At 38.5% G+C, this 17,081-nt stretch overlaps 1 protein-coding gene across 11 annotated transcripts in view, besides 2 other annotated features; it reads right to left on the bottom strand.

Moving 5' to 3' along the window:
* Positions 1-17,081, bottom strand: part of PBX1 (PBX homeobox 1) — a 326,864-nt gene that overhangs the window by 44,207 nt on the left and 265,576 nt on the right. The window lies entirely within an intron of this gene.
* Positions 2,692-3,193: an enhancer, noted in NCBI's record as "NANOG hESC enhancer chr1:164807885-164808386 (GRCh37/hg19 assembly coordinates)". NCBI's record gives its function as "activates a minimal SCP1, AML or CMV promoter by ChIP-STARR-seq in primed H9 embryonic stem cells {active_cell/tissue: H9 hESC(primed)}" and the evidence as "EXISTENCE:reporter gene assay evidence [ECO:0000049][PMID:30033119]".
* Positions 4,284-5,571: an enhancer, noted in NCBI's record as "VISTA enhancer hs1191". NCBI's record gives its function as "enhancer in: forebrain[4/7] | facial mesenchyme[3/7]" and the evidence as "EXISTENCE:transgenic organism evidence [ECO:0001131][PMID:17130149]".

The following is a 17,081-nucleotide window of genomic DNA, read 5'->3' as shown; positions in this document are numbered from 1 at the left end:
CCCAGTCACTGTTGGGAACGGCCGGGAAGAAAAACAGAGACACGGATGCATCCTCTTTCCCTCTCTATGCAAACACACACAGAGCCACTATATATCAGGGAGACATCAGCTCACACAGCAGAGGTCACATCCTAGATTCATCACTCTTCTATCAAGCTAGAAGAAATATGTCTTCCTGATATGCTTAACACTTTCCCAAGATTACACAGACAGCACTTTGAAAAGATGCTATTGGAAAGCCCCCTTAGGGACGTCAAAAGATTCAAAATTTCCTGGGGAATTTTACAGTGGAAAAGAGATCCAGGCCCGGTCTGGGTATTCCTCCAGTCCTATCTCTAGCTGCCACCAGAGCTATCTTTCAAAAGTGTCATTCTGTGCATGTCATCTCCCTGTTGAAATCTTCAATGGCTACCCATTGGCCTCAAGATGAGGTTCAATGTCCTCAGCAGCTCTGCCGCAGCCTTGATCTTGCTTACTTCCCCTATCAACACAATTATTTACATTCCCATGAATTTCCCAGGACAGAGCAGCCGTCTCATGCCTGCTTCTTTCCCCTTGAATGCCGTGCCCTCACTCCTCCAATTACATCTCACTCACACCTTGGCTGCTTTGTAAGACTGAATTTGAATATCTTTGCACATCCATCTGTCCCCTGGCCATGCTTTTTGTTTCTTCCTCCTGCAGGCCCCCAGTTCTATGTATGTGCCTCTGTCACAGCACATGTGCTGCTGTATTGCGTGTGTTCCTTCACACGTCGGTTTCACCTACCCGACCATAAAAGCAAGGGTGTGGAATTTATCTTTTATTCCAAAGTGCCCACCACAGTGCCCGACACATCGCCGATTTTGATAAATGTTTCTTGGAGAGGCATAGGATGAAGTAAAGAAACACTTGGTGGCACTGTGACATCCATCCCCCAACATGGGCATGGAGAGACATATGGCATGAGATCCCTGACCTCCATAATTCATTCCAACTATATGTAAATAGCTGTGTACACCTAGAAAATACTCAAAAGACAGAGCAGAAGCACTGCCAAGTTTCTGGGTAACTTTAATCTTCAGGCAGTGAACGTTTCTCTTACTAAACTGGCATCAGGGAGATTTGGTGCTTCATAGCTTATCCCAAACAAGCAATGATAATTAATATTTATACTGTTTTGTTTTGCGTTTAGGGAAAGCAATTGAGAAGGACACTGGAACCTGACAGTTGCAGTGCCACAGCTTAGCACACCATCTTAACAAGGAGTGTTCTCCAGAAAGGCACAAGGAGAAGACAACCCATCCTGCATCTGTATCCCAGTTACCACCCTGAGCACAGTGGGAATTGCAAAAATGCAAAACAGACATAGTCTCCTAATGGCCTGTTGTGTCCTTGAGCCCCTATCTTTTCTCTCTCTGGTGTGAGACCCATATACAGATTCAGCTTCCCTCTTAGGATCTAGGAATGACATTGCCAGATAAAATATGGGATGCCCTGTTACACTGTAATTTTATAAGTATATCCCATGTAGTATTTCCATTTGCTAAATCTGGCAACCCTATATGGGAATAACATGTGCTCTCAGACAGAAGAAATTTTCTTCTGGCCTAGTTTGGTACCATAGGTAACTCAGAATCAATTTTGCCACTTGTCTTACTTGGACATTTTGCATCAGTGTCTTCATATAGGAACTTCTTTCTTGTGGTTGAGACCATCTCTACCAAGCTTATGCCTAGCTTTGCTTAATTTTCTGCTATTTATTACAGTTCCTTAAAGACCGAGAAAGTGACTTGCTCTTGTTATTGGAATACTGCTCTGGAACCTCAGCTCACCAACTACTACCTGCCATCGTACTTCCCAGAAGCCAATCCTCTGCTTGGATTAACTCATGCTGCTGGCTCTAGGATTCCTGTTTCCATAGTCCTTTGACTGCCAGGGTATCCTCTCTAATTGCCACCTACCACTAGGTCAGCCCCTGGTGGCTTCATATCAATGCCACACCACCACACTCCTCTCTAGTCTGGCTCCCATCAAGCCTCTTGAATCCTGAGATCTTGTTTATAGGTCTCTATGTTCAGAAAGATTAGCAGTGCAATGCAGTCAGCCATTCCTGGTGGAGAATAGAAATCCTTGCTGCAAAGACTTTTGTAGTTTACGCTGCTGCAAAGAAATAATAATTTTTCATTGTCAAAGTGAGAATCCTTCCTTTACTGTACTGAGAAGTCAAGTGAGAGGATTTTTTTGCCTTTGCCTGTCTATCTCCTCTGGTCTCTACAAATCCGTGTCATCTTTCAAGGCCCAGCTTGAGAGTCACTTTCTTATTGTAGGTTTCTTCAAGGCACACATCACCCATGTCTCTAGCCTCTAATACCACTGACTTACTGATCCTTCATTTTGACATTTAAAACTACGTGCAACTTTTATTTATCATTTAAAATCTCCAAGTGAGCACCATATGTTTTTGGCTGTAATCACTTAGTTTTTAATTACGTAAATACGTATTCAGTGCCCACTTGTGCTACATACTGGGCATACAGTGGTTGATAAAATAAGTTAAAAAAATCTTGTTTCTGCTCTCAAGGAGTTTACTGTTTTGCAGGAAATTGACATTTGCTATATTATCAAAATAATGTATACAGATTCTAGATGGCAATAAGTGCTAGGAGACAGTACAAAAGAGGGACCTCACTTGGGCTTACGGAAAATCAGCCTGAAGGTGAACAGAAAACAGACAAGCCAAGAGTGGGGCAAAGGGAAGCCTTTCCAGAGTCTCCAAGGGACTCAAAGAAGGCCAGAAAGAATGGAACAGGGGAGAACAGTGGTAAGTGAAGCAAGACAGGACCGGAGAGGAGAGGACTTAGCCATGCCCAGACTTGCAGGCTACATGAAGCACTTTGATATTTATCCTCAATGAGATGGTAAATCATTCAACAACAAGCCATTACAGGACTAGGCTCATGTTTGACACAGCAGCTGCTCAATTAAGCACTTGATTGAATGGAAGGAGAAATGATGGCTTTGAAGCCTTCCCTTGGTGTCTCGTTCCTGTGAATACTGGATGGCTTGGCTGCAGGTGCCCAGCATAACTGCACAGTTATAGGTCCATCTCTTGCTCTGGATCACAAATACACAGTGGTACACAAATCTAGTGTGAACTCTTACTCCTACTTCTCAGGAGAGAAAACTAGATCTCAGAACCCAGGATTTGCCAGACTTAGTACCCACTGCCTGCTACTGCTTTTTGGACATTTCAATTTTCAAAAGACGGGGCTGTGGGACAATGTGTGCGCTCCACATGCAGAGCACAGCTACTTTGGATGCTCACAGCTAAAGGCAGGTGACTTGTGCTCTTCAGTTCACCTTTGGGAATCCCTATGTTGTTTATTAAGATGCTAGAACATATGAATCACAAGACTGGCCTCAGAAAAGTCCGAGGATTCTAATATCTCCTGCTACTAAGCAACAATCCACCTCATCAAACTTGGTTTTGAACAAGACAAGCTCTGCTCCTGCAGGGCTATGCTTCTGAGGCTTGACCATGGGCGGCACCACCTTGCCAGTGAATATGGCTTAACTTACACTGGCAAGGCAGAGTTCTGGTCTAAGACCTAAGAGTAAGATGGTATATCTGATCCATGTTCACACGGTATGAAAACAAACTCTCTTGTTAGAAGTTACTACCTTGAATTTTATCTTGCATGCACCCTAACTGCTAAGGGGTGCTCAGTCACCAACTGGAAGATTCCATCAACTGTAGCACCATCATAGTGTGCCCTCCTGCCAACATCCTAATGCCACATTATTAAAGTGCGCTTGTATAATACATCAACTCTGAGATCAAGATCTACTCTGGCTCCTTCTTAGCTTTATTCTTTTCTAATGAATCTGTTGCGAAGATCCAGGATTAATAATGCCATATAAGGGATCTGAGACACGGGGTGGTTTTAGCTGAGCCTCTCCATAACTCACATAGTATAGGAGATGGTGTGCATTTCCAGGTTTTGGGTTGAGTTGCTTTTCCATTTCTGTTAAAAGTACAAATAGGACAGTTACACATAACGTGTTCATGTCTTACAGACTTAAGGTCCTTAGGCTAAATGGACATACAAGAGGCTAAAGCTTCAAGTTTGATTTTCTTACTTTTTCCAAAGGCTATCCTGATCTCCTGGCAAAGAAAAATAAGCTCAGCTTGATTTTAGCTAAACAAAGGTGCCTTAGTGCAGAGAATTCTACTTATATCTGAATAAATAACCTCTGCCTGCACAGCTGCACAAACCAAAATAAAAACACACTTCTAAACATCAACAAACAGCATTCGACAACATGCATAATTTCCACATTTATTATATTCACGTAGAGCTGATATACATTTCGAATGTACTCATACTACCTAAAGAATATAGACAGACACACAGATGCTACTTACACTAGAAAAGAGTAGCTACACTAGAAAAGAGGAAGCATAAAGCTTCCTCATAAAGCTAAACCTAGATAATTCAAGTAAGGGTATTCTTTTTCTTTTTTAAACTCTCAATATAAATTATCTGATTGGCTGAACCTATACAGCCCTGAATTCGTCATTTCATTTTTATAACCTTTGATTTTGCTTTGGCTTTGTTGACAAGGCTATTATTTACTAAGGGTACACACAGAGATTGTATACACATCTTAACGGTGAACGGTGGCTACACATGAAATACACACACAGCCAGTATGTGTGAACCTGCCCTCGTGGGGTAAATTTTGAGGCTATTTACCATCACACAGGAAGCTAAACCCCTTACACTTTTCTGACCATCCAAGAGACAGCAATTACCCCAGATTATCAGACCAACAATGACATGCCGTGTAAAGAGAGACACTGAGCCAACTCCACATCCCAAAGACTGGCATATTCAAGTACACTTAGGACATTAATAGCAATTTACGTGCCATCACTGAGACAAAGCCACAAAGGCTCCGTTGGCAGCCTCTTATTTTGAAGCCTATTATTTGTGGGAGTTACAGGCTATAATCACAATAGAAACTTTCAAAACCCTTATCTTCCGTGACGCACCAAATCTATTTCAGAGCCATAATTGCTATGTCACCAGAGAGTTTGCTGCTTAATGCACTCAAATGCCATTTAGTGTTTGCAGGGTCATTACAGCTAACAGAAGGGTTGTGGGAGATATAGTGGGAAGCAGGCCCAGGCTTGGGGGTGGGGGATGCAGAAAGAAAATGTTGACAAGAATGTACGAGAACGGAGTGCTAGTATCCATTGTGCCAAATTTACTGATGGGAGGATATTGTTGTTTTTAAAATTCTATTTACTGATGAAATGAAAACAAGAGCTTGAAAACAATCTATGTGCTCAAGAATTTTGAATTCACTTGACACCACCCTAGAAATATTCAGGGGATGCTGGGGGACACCCTCTTTTATTCTGGAATTCTCATCCAAGTGTAAGGGGGTTTGATTTTTTGAAATTTTAATTTTTTTCTTTTTAAAGAGTCCCAGAATCTCTGCAGTAGAAACCTTCCAGCTGTACTGTGGGTTCAGGAGTCTGCTTTGGCCTTTCTTTATGTGTGCTGCTACGGAATAAGATGGGCAGAGCATATGATGGTGAGATGTCAAAGTTCAACAACTGAGAAGAATGTGTTATCTTACAGATAGTAAAAGAAACAAGGAGACTGATCGAGCATCCAAAATAAAACATCTAGTCACTCAAAATACCATTTTCTTGACCTAAGTGTAGCAAAGGTCATAAGAAAGCTTTTTTAATAGATGTAACTATTATCTCTTCAACCTGGCTATATAAACAAGCCAAGGATTTATTTATTTGGCTTAGGGTCATACTAGGCCTAGGGCAGATCTCCCCCTAAACTTTCCACTAACATATCTCTAGGTTCTTTTAGAAAATTCTTGGGCACTATTTTACAACCTGAGATTTTTCATAGATCAGAAAAATAGAAAATGTCAAGCTAGTTCAGATTGTAGGGTTAATTAATTTATTTATTTTAAGATCAATACTGGTATCACTTACAGATCTGCCTTTAGTTTTCCTAGGGCAACAATCCAGCTTTCACTCTGAAGAACTTTACACAGAAATAGGATGAGACTTGGGGCCTTATTCCACAGGAGTCCTCCTCCACTCAGAAATAGAATTTCCTCTATTTACTAAATGCTGGCCAAGTGCAGGAGGATTAATATCCTTATTGTATTATAAGAGTTCTTAGAAATCAATAAGAAAAGAGATGAACATTTCCAGAATATGTACAAAAGGCCAATAAACATATAAAAAATGTTCAATCGCACTAGCAACCCAAGGGATACAAGTTAAAATAAAAACGAGATGCCATTTAATGATTTGATAATTGACAAAGACTGAAAAACAGTTGAGGGTGTGAGGAAATGGAAACTACCAGAAACTGTTAGTGAGAACCATAAATTAATAGAAGTTCCTAGAAGAAAAGTTTACAATACATCACAAAGACTGTAAACTTATGCATACCCTTTGATCTAGCAATTCCATTTTTAGAAATTTATCCAAGGAAATAACAGAAAATGTGCATTAAATGTTCTGTACTATAAAGCTTACCACCGTGTTATTAATAATAGTAAAAAAAAAAAAAAAAAACCAAAATCAAAAGTAGCTTAAATGTTCTATAGTATAAATTGATTAAACACATTGTGGACTTTCCCTATAACAGTTTCCTATGCAGTTATTTAAAGTTATGCTTGAGAAGAATGTTTAATGATATGGAAAATATTCATAACACATTTTTAGTAATATAGGTAGGTAAAAGGAAATGTAACTTTCTTACACCCACATAAAAAACACACTTATACATAAAGTGCTAGAAGGCTACGAGCACAAAGTTAACAGTAAATTTTCTTCTTTGTGGTTTTCCTGAATTCTCCAAATTTTCTACATTAAATACTAATTTGCAATCAGAAAAAAATTTAAAATTTAAACAAAGTGTCTGAAGAAGAGTCCATATCTAACTCATGTCTTTGTTTGGTGTTGCCAATCTCCAGAGGTCATTAGAGAAGAGCAACCAATGCAATTTATAGCCAACCACAGGTCTTAGGAAGAAAGGCTGAGGGAACTCAGACTCTTTTCCCCAGAGAAGAGAAAGTTAGCAAGGGATTTCATAACTCTTTTCAAAATACAACAATAACCTGTGAAGAGTGTTAATAGTTGTTTTTTCCTTTCCATGAAAAATAGGGCTGGCCGGGTATAGTGGCTCACGCCTGTAATCCCACCACTTTGGGAGACTGAAGTGGGTGGATCACCTGAGGTCCAGAGTTTGAGACCAGCCTGTCCAACATGGTGAAACTCCGTCTCTACTAAAAAATACAAAAATTAGCCAGGCGTGGTGGGGCATGCCTGTAATCCCAGCTACTTGGGAGGCTGAGGCATGAGAATTGCTTGAACCCAGGAAGTGGAGGTTGCAGTGAGCCAAGACTGTGCTACTGCACTCCAGCCTGGGTGACAGAGTGAGACTCTGTCTCAAAAAAAAAAAAAAAGAAAGAAAAATAGGGCCAATGGAAACAGGCTAAACAACAAGATCAAGACAGAGAGCTGCTCAAGAACAGGCATTAGGTCTCCTTTTCATTTTCTTTGCCTTAATGCCCAACACTATTCTGAGTAATAATAAGTCTCAAGAAAACATCTACTAAACAAATGAGTGAATGAGTGAATGAATGAATTATGGATCAAGCTCAAGGCCACAGAGATAACAGCTGCCCCAAAGAAAAGTATGGAAAAGAGAAAAAACAGTCACAGATATCTGAGCTCTGAATACACACACACACACACACACACACACACACACACACACACATATACATATATATACCCATATCCAGGGTATATATACACCCATAAAATATTTCTGGCATAAAAATTATAGGGTATGCAATATAAATAAGTTGGAGGTAAAAGATGGGTACCAGTCTGTGGTAAACAGAAAAAAAAAAAAAAGTACAAAAAGCCATTTTCTTGTGGAAGAAATTCTCTGGATAATAGAAACACAAAAATACATGTTTGTGGGGGTTCAAGGCAGGCAGAAAATCCAGTCAGAATAGACCGGTTGCTGGTTAAAAAAACATACACACAAAACCCACTGACAACAGGTTCAACTAGGCTCACTTTGAAAAGCATTCATTGAGCACCTACTGTATACCAGGCCTGAGTTGAGGAACAGGATATAAAACTATGATCCTTCTCTTCAGAATTCTATGGTCTAGAGAGGAATGAAAGATAAGTGTCAGAAACGAAATTCCACTCCAACTCCAGTGTACTAAGTAGTACATAGGCACAGTCTGAAGGAACTAGGAAGTACTTCCAGAAGATAGGCCTGAGCTAGGTCACGTAAGATGAGTGGGCTTATGAGATGTTTGCCCACTGCCATAGGTTCTGGGCTATGGATTCTACTGATTGAAAACGTCTTTGCCCCTAACAAAGGTCAATCTTATCTATGACGAGAGAAAAAGAGAATGCTCATTTTATAACGCTAGCCACTTCGGGAACCTGTGATCTGAAGAAAAGTACCAGGGCAGGTACTGGGTGTTTTTCAACCGCAAAAATCACCACATTAGACAAGGAATGAAAATTGATATCTGCAGATCTATTTTGCTTACCTTCAGGTTTTGTTTTTTTTTGTTTTTGTTTTTTTAGCGAGGGGAGGGTTATTGCCCTGATGCCTGGCTTTCCCTTCTCTGAACTTTTTTTTGCTTACCCCAAAAATAAATTCCTAATTATTTTAATACACTTGAATTAAAGAAGTTAATGTACATAAAGTGTCTACCACATAGAAAGAAGTCAATAAATGTTAGCTATTAATACAGTTATTAAGTGTCATTTTGGCCTGTTAATTTTCTCTCCTTATTGTTTTTTAATTGTTCTTTAATTTACTGCCTTAAACCACTTCCTTATTTTATTACTACTTGATCTGTTTTTTAATCTTTGTAAGTATCTTCTTAGCTGGTGTTATTTATTTTAACTACTCATCCTAGCTTATTTTATGTTTTTATTATTCTCTTCAGTACCCGTGTATCTTAATTGCTTTTAACCTTCATTTTGCAATTTACATGCAATTTTATCACTCTCCTGCCAATTTTATTCTTCCAGTGCTTTGTAGTTGATTACTAAATTCTTTCTTCCTACTTTTCTTTTTCTTAGTTCCTTGCTATTCTAATTTTTTAAATTATATTTTCTATTTAATTTTCTAGTTCTATTTATATTATATTACCCTTGCAGGCTATCATATTTATTCTTTTAACTTACTTTAAAAATCCACCTCTGCTGATACTTCACACCTAGATTCTAGAACAGTCTTGCCTTCTGTTATAATGAGTACCACACATTTCTCAGCGAAGTAACACTTGATCTAAAATCCTGCTCTCATGTATGATCACTGGGTCACTATCTAGGCAGGTTAACCAAATATGACACAATAAAGGTGTAGGGTAGCCTAGATCCAGGAAAGAGCTGTCTAAATATTTTCCAAATTTAATTTTAATAAAGAAATGAACTAGTCGTAAGCCTTCCATATGCCACCCTGAGAGGATACACAACAGAACAGTCATAATTGAGTTCTTAAGAGTTCTTTTCCATATCATTCGGTCTCCAAAATGCTTATCACCAGGCAACATAAATTCTTTCACTATAAGGTTCTTGTCAATTCCCTTCACTTGGCCTAAGGACTAGAGGTCAAGGGTCTATCTGGATAAAGGGAAAGAAGAAAGGGGAGAAACGGCAAAAGGCAAAAGAGGAAAAATGTAATAGTGAGGTAATCACACTATAATTCAACTTTCTGATATCTATTAGAAAGTTTCTATTTTTATATATCTCAAAAACTTTTCTCATTGAAATGTGAATATAAGTTGAATACAAGCCTTTAAAAGCAGGCTCACCATATCAGAACATGAGACAAGTGTAGAATAAAACTAAACCATCTCATTTGATTTAAATTGGCCTTTCTAGCAATGCTTGGCTATAAGATAGAATGAGGGACTGAGGATAGGAGGTGCAAGGGAGGGAGCCCCTGGCTGCTGGGAAAAGAACAGACTATTCTGTGGACAACTATGTGCCCTGTCCTTCCATTTCCTTCTTATTTTGTTTTGTAAACTATACAAATGAGGTAGACACAAGAAAACAAAGGGTAGGAAATTTATATACAAGTGTATTACATTTGTTAAAACTTAAGAGACTCAGCACTTTGGGAGGCTGAGGTGGGCGAATCACGAGGTCAGGAGATCGAGACCATCCTGGCTAACACGCTGAAACCCCGTCTCTACTAAAAAATACAAAAAATTAGCTGGGCATGGTGGCGGGCGCCTGTAGTCCCACCTACTTGGGAGGCTGAGGCAGAAGAATGGCATGAACCTAGGAGGCGGAGCTTGCAGTGAGCCAAGATCGCGCCACTGCACTCCAACCTGGGTGACAGAGCGAGACTCCATCTCAAAAAACAAAATAAACAAAAAAAAAACCTTCAAGAGAATGGATACTTATGATTTGCACATTTAGTTGTGTACAATTTTGTTCCAGAAGAGAAAAATCCTGCAAATAAATATTGAACTCTAGTTAATGATACATGTACCAGGATATTTACTTAGGAGAAAATGTACTGTTGTCTGCAATTTACTTTGAAATGAATGAAAAGAAATCAAGATGGATTGATGGATGCACAGAAGGATAAAAGGGTGACAATATGACGAAGCCAGTAGAGTTAAATATTAATGACAGAATCTAGGTGGTGAGAATAGTGATTTCACTGTAAAATTCTTTCCAGTTTTCCATATGTTTGAAAATTTTTTAAATAAAATGTTGAAAACATTTTAAAAGGTATCCTTAATGCAAATAAAGCTATGTAATTCCTTCTCTTCAGTAAGCCCTAGAGAGCATGTAGACTTTACACACTAGAGCAGAGCTTCTCAAACTTAATGTGCTTAACAATTGCCAGGGGATCTCGTTAAATTGTAGCATCTGATTTAATAGGTCTGGGCGGGGCCTGAGATTCTGCATGGCTCACAAGCTCCCAGGTAATGTTGTTGATCTGCAGACTACACTTGGAATAGACTAGCAGGGCAGGGAGGAAGAAACGGCGAGGCAGAGGCTGCCAGCAAAGGCTTAGGTCACCTGGGAGACTTGAAACAAAGACTCTATCTTATGTAAGCCCTACAGGGTTTAGACTTAAAGAAAGAGTTCAAGATGAGTTCAAAGACATGTCCTGCTTGGGCTTGAAGAATTATTAGGTTGGATGAATTAGTGGCTGACACAGTGAAAAATTATTTCAAAAAAACCATAACAAATGTAGGTATTTCTATATTTATATTTTAAATCTTCCTCCATATTATTTAATAGTTTGAAGCATATTATTATGATAACCAGAGTTCACTTCTTGTATATAGTTAATTTTTAATAAAGAGCTCTATTTATTTTTGGAAAGGCTGATTTAAGCAGAAAGCATGCTTTTCTATGTTTTGTGTTAAGAAGTCTACTCTGTTTTCACAGCATGGTGACACCTCTAACACCGTCACCCCACTTTGGTGGCTTCATTTTAACCTTCATTTTGCAATTTACATGTGATTTTATCACTCTCCTGCCAATTTTATTCTGCTAATGCTTTGTAGTTGATTAGTAAATTATTTCTTCCTACTTTTCATAGTTCCTAGCTATTCTAAATTTTTAAATTATATTTTCTAGTTTTATATTACTCTTGCACACCATCACATTTATTCTTTTAACTTACTTTACCAAGTTACAGTTACCAAATAACCGGCAGAGCATCTAGAACTTCACTAGCCAACATGGTAGCCACTGGCCAAAAGTGGCTACTGAAAATTTAAATTACCTTAAATTAAATAAAATTAAACATTTATTTTCTTTTTCAAACTAGCCATATTTCTTTTTTTTTAGTTTCAAGATGTTTATTTTGAAAAACGTGCTTGTTTATATGTAAGCATCTTCGTATCTAGCAGCTAATCAGTATTAATTCTTCATTGTCATATCTTGTATGTTAACGGTACTTAGTTGATACCAATTCTCTTTTGGACCTCATGCCCAATACTTTTTTTTTTTTTAATTTCCAACTTTTATTTAAAGTTCTGGGGTACATGTGCAGGAAGTGCAGGTTTGCTACATAGGCAAATGTGTGCCATGGTGGTTTGCTCCACCCATCACCTAGGTATTAAGCCCAGCATTTATTAGGTATTCTTCCTGATGCTCTCCCTCCCCTCTTCCCCTCAACAGGCCCCAGTGTGTGTTGTTCCCCCATGTGCCCATGTGTTTTCTTTGTTTAGTTCCTACCTATAAGTGAGAACATGCGGTGTTTGGTTTTCTGTTGCTGTGTTAGTTTGCTGAGGATAACGAGCTAGCCATATTTCAAGTGCTCAATAGCTATGTTTTGCTAAAGGCTAACTTATTGGACAGTGCTAAAATAGAACATTTCCATCAATGCAAAAAGTTATATTGGGACAGCATGGTTCTAGAAGCAAAGAACAGCTTTTGCTAGTCACTCACAAAATCTATGTAAGAATAACAAATGTCAATCATGCTTATAAGCAATTCATATATTTATAGTTGATAGGAGTATGATTATATGTGTGTAAATGCACCTTACAATGGCCATTCACCAAATTTTTGAAAATAATATTGACTATACTGGCTGGTATATTTCTTCTCTTTCAGAGAATCAGATAACTGAACCAGATAACTGCCAGTTCTTTTTGCTTTCTATGACTTTATGAAGTATAAGAACCATGTCCTATTGATGTGTGTATTCCTGGTACTGGAAATTAGAAGGATCTCAATAAACATTTGTGGAATAAGGCATTTTTATTTACTTATTTACTAATACTATCAAATTGAAACATATTTAGAGATGTGAAAAAGAATTTCCTCAAACTCAAATGTAGCCAGAGATTGGGATTTTTAAAAATTACCAATTTTAAAACAAAGGGATTTTCTAAGAAAAAAGTCTAATATTTTATCCGAAAACAAGCTTGTCTAAGAACATGGAACTCTTCCTAAAAGGCAAGAAGGGGTGAGGCTAGACTCAGCAAGAAGAAGACTGTCTTCAGAAATCAATGCTAATGTTTCCCATAATTAATTTGCCTTATTTAATTGCCTTAATATTTGCTGACATCTAGAGGGACCATGCCACTTTCAGGAGCAACCATAAAAAAAAAAACCTATCCCTTTGAGGTTGTGATTTTTCTCCACAGAGCAGAAGGAGGGACCAACTTGAGTCTGGAACAACTAACCAGATCCTAGCCTGAGGACAGCATGGCTACGGGGCCAAATGCGGGCCAGGCTGGGCAGGATGCTATAAAACACCAATTGCAATGAAAGGAACATAGCATACGCTGTCATCTCACAGTTGAGAATCTTCCCCAAAACACAATCTTGCATTTTCTTGGGAATGGAAAAACAATAATTGTTTATAAATGGAACTGGCATTGGAAGATGCCCTAAACAAAATCCAGCTCAACTGTCCTCTTTGGAATTCAGAAAACTGAGTCCTATCATGAGAAACTGACTTGTTCATAGTCACACAGGCAAAAGTGGAATGTACATGTACACACACACACACACACGCATACACAAACACACACAGCCTAAATGTGATACTGTTTAGTGTGATCATATCACTAGGTTTAAGATCATAACTCATTGCAACTAGTTCTACAAAGAGAGAAGCAGTTTCTACAAAATAATGCTTTTTATTATATTATTAAGTCCATGGTATATCTATTTGGTTGGGGTTGGTACTTTTCTCAAACTGTTGCTGGTTGGTCCTAAATTCCCCCCTTCTGTCATATAATTTAATTTCAAATTCCCTCCTAGGCTATAGAGTTGGTCAGTTCCCTTGGTCTAGTCTTCTAGGAACAGGAAATTCAATCCCAGACAAAGTGCTGAATGAGACTAAAAGGGAAAATGTACCCTGACTGACATCAGAGTTTCTCCAATTTGACCTGGATGTACCATGATGTAGCTTCATTCCTCAAGGTAAAAAATGCTTATGTTTATTGAATGAATGAGTGAATGAATGAATAAGCAAATGAATAAATGAATGCATGAATAAGCCATTGAATGATCTGACCTCATTTGTACTTTTAAGGGCTTTCACTTGGGAGCTGGGGAAAAACATTGGATTGCATATGAAATCACATTACTGGGATATTTTTTGCTTCTTCAATCATCGTGGGCTGAAATAAAATGCTTTTCTGGTCTCAGGTTTGTTATGGTGCTAGGTTTAAAGGCCCTATAAGAAGGAAAGGCACTTACTTACTCTGTTTCCCAATAGTTTTGTCATGAAGGAAAGTGAGGCTGTTAGCTTCCATCTATCTACTCTATCTCTGCTGCCTTCAAACACTATACAGTCTGGTCTGCCACATTCAGACCCCTCGATTTTCCTTGGTACCTTTACCCCTCAGTTTTGGGGCTGTTCACTAGTTCCTGGTCATAGCACCAGAAGGTACCCAAAGACAACCAACTGGGGGGCACATCTGGGTATGTTTTCATCCCTTTGAAATTCAAATTCAGCTGGTAAAATAGAAGAATTAAAACTGTGTATAATTAACATGAGTTTTCAAAGATATGCATATGAATTTTAATTATTACCCTCAGTTCCCAGCCTTACAATTCCACATGTGGCAACATCTTACTAATATATACTTTAAGTGGAAGGAGGTCTCTCAGAAATAGTTAAGAAAAAATTAAAATTATGGCATGTGGCCAAGTATTACTAAGTATCCCCGTGGTATCCAAATGTCTGAAATATGTTCATTTAAATAGGAGGCTATTTTTGTCCTAATGATTTATATACTATTTATTTACTTGGTAAATGTTCCTTTTTCCCCCTTACCTAACATGGGAGAAAAGAAAAAACAAAAACACCTATGTTACAGTTTTACAATGATAAAAGCTTCATCTCTATTTTTCTATTACTATAATGATTACAAAGCAAGATTAATGAGTTTTTTTTGTGTCATAAATTGATGTTAACGGCATGTTACCTTTGTAGAGATAATGCTGACACTTATTTCCATTTTCACCAAACCTTTTGAATAAGAAAAATCCACAGGGGTATCTATTTACATCAAAGACTGGCTGGAGTAAATTCATTCCCATAACCCACATTTTAAAACAATTAAATATAGTGGCCAGGTGCAGTGGCTCACACCTATAATCCCAGTACTTTGTGAGGCTGAGGCAGGAGGATCACTTGAGGTCAGGAGTTTGAGACCAGCCTGGCCAACATGGTGAAACCCCATCTCTACTGAAAACACAAAAATTAGCTGGGCATGGTGGTGCAAACCTGTAATCCCGGCTACTTAGGAGGCTGAGGCACAAGAATCGCTTGAACCCAGGAGGCAGAGGTTGCAGTGAGCTGAGATCACACCACTGCACTCCAGCCTGGGTGACAGAGCGAGACTCTGCCTCAAAAAAAAAGAAAACAAACAAACAAACAAAAAAGGTTTACCCTAAAGAATAATGCTTTCTGCTATCACAAATATCCAAGGAATTCAAAGGGAAAAGTTTGTGTAACGAGAGCACTTCTTCCTTCCCATTTGGGTTTCAAGATATAATTTGAACACTGGGGTTGGCTAGAAAGAATAGAAGTTACTAACTCTAATGAAAGAGTTTTCTGGAGGGATGATCTACAATTTAGTCTGGTGTCCCTTGAGCTAACAATGAATCAAAGATCATAAATGTAGAATTCTAGAGCTGTTGAGCTGAAAGAGAGCTTTCAGTTTGCTTATCTAATAAACTTTACAGATGAAGCAACAACACAGAGGTGAAGTGACTCCTTAAAAGAAAAGTCACAAGAAGGACCTAAGTTTCCCAATTTCAAGTTGCTTCCACCTTCCTCCAGGTTGTCCTTGGAGGTTCCAATACCACATCTAGTAGGGAGGGCAATTACAACAATGAGAATCCAGTTACAACAATGTTATGTTGCTACATGCACAGCTATCCCACAAACAATACTATGTTGCTACATGCATGGCTATCCTACAAACAGGTATATATACTTTTTTTAAACAGGGATTCTTTTAGTATAGAAACACAGGGACTCTTTAAGGATAGGAGGAGTGAAAGAAATTTTACAAAATTCATAATAAGAATGATCCTACTGCTGAGGATAATTATGTCTGCAATATCATCACCATATAAATTCACACACTTACTGCTGATTTGAATCTTATTCTCAGAGAATATACATCAGCCGGAAAGTTTGAAAAACTTTTTCCAAAAAGAAAGACTTAAGGATATTTTTGGATCTTAAAGACAGTATAATTGTGGATAAGCATTTAAAGTAGTAATTCTCATCAGATACTTTATAGCTGGTACACTAGATGTGGCTATTGGTCATTAAAATGAATTTTTAATTTAGTAGCATCTTTTCTTCCCCTCCCTGATTTATTCATTCAACGAACATGTTTTGAGCAACTAGAACATGCATTTTTAGGACCATACACATGGGCAGAAGTGAAAGACACAGAGGTAATTTCTGCGCATGTATGTACAGTGCAAAGAAAATGTGTGTCTGTGATAAAGTAGAGAGAAGAGGGGGAGAAGGACTAAGAAGAAGAAAGACACGAAGGAGGAGCTGGGCTTGAGACTCAGTGTGATTTGGATAGTGGGGTGGGATGGAGAGGTGATGTGGGAATGAAAGGACATTTGTGTAGATGGCATACATGAGTAAATGTAAGGGGAAAAATGGGTAATGAGGTAAAGATGAGCTGGCCATACTGAATGGCATCCAGAGTTTATTTTGATGACAGGAGGATGAGGTAGAAGGACAGGAAGGCTGGGCCCAGATGTAAGAGACCCTGAATGTCGTACTCAGGGTTTGAGCTTGCTTGGGTAGGCAATAGATTTCTGAGCAACGAATGACAAAATTCAGAGGGTGTGTGGGAGAGAGGAGGAATTAAAGACAGCAACAGTGATTAGGAAGTTATGGCAATAGTCTAGTTAATGAACTATTTCTAGAACTAGGATGGTGGCAGTGAGAATGGATAGGAAAGAATGTGATAGCTAAGTGATCTTTAAGTATGTCTGATTGACAGAGAAGTGGAGTAATCTCCCTCCATTACTTAGAGCC

Source organism: Homo sapiens, chromosome 1 (assembly GCF_000001405.40).
Source record: "Homo sapiens chromosome 1, GRCh38.p14 Primary Assembly".
NCBI lineage: Eukaryota > Metazoa > Chordata > Mammalia > Primates > Hominidae > Homo > Homo sapiens.
The sequence above is the reverse complement of the archived record's forward strand: the minus strand, read 5'-3'. Positions and strand labels throughout refer to the sequence as shown.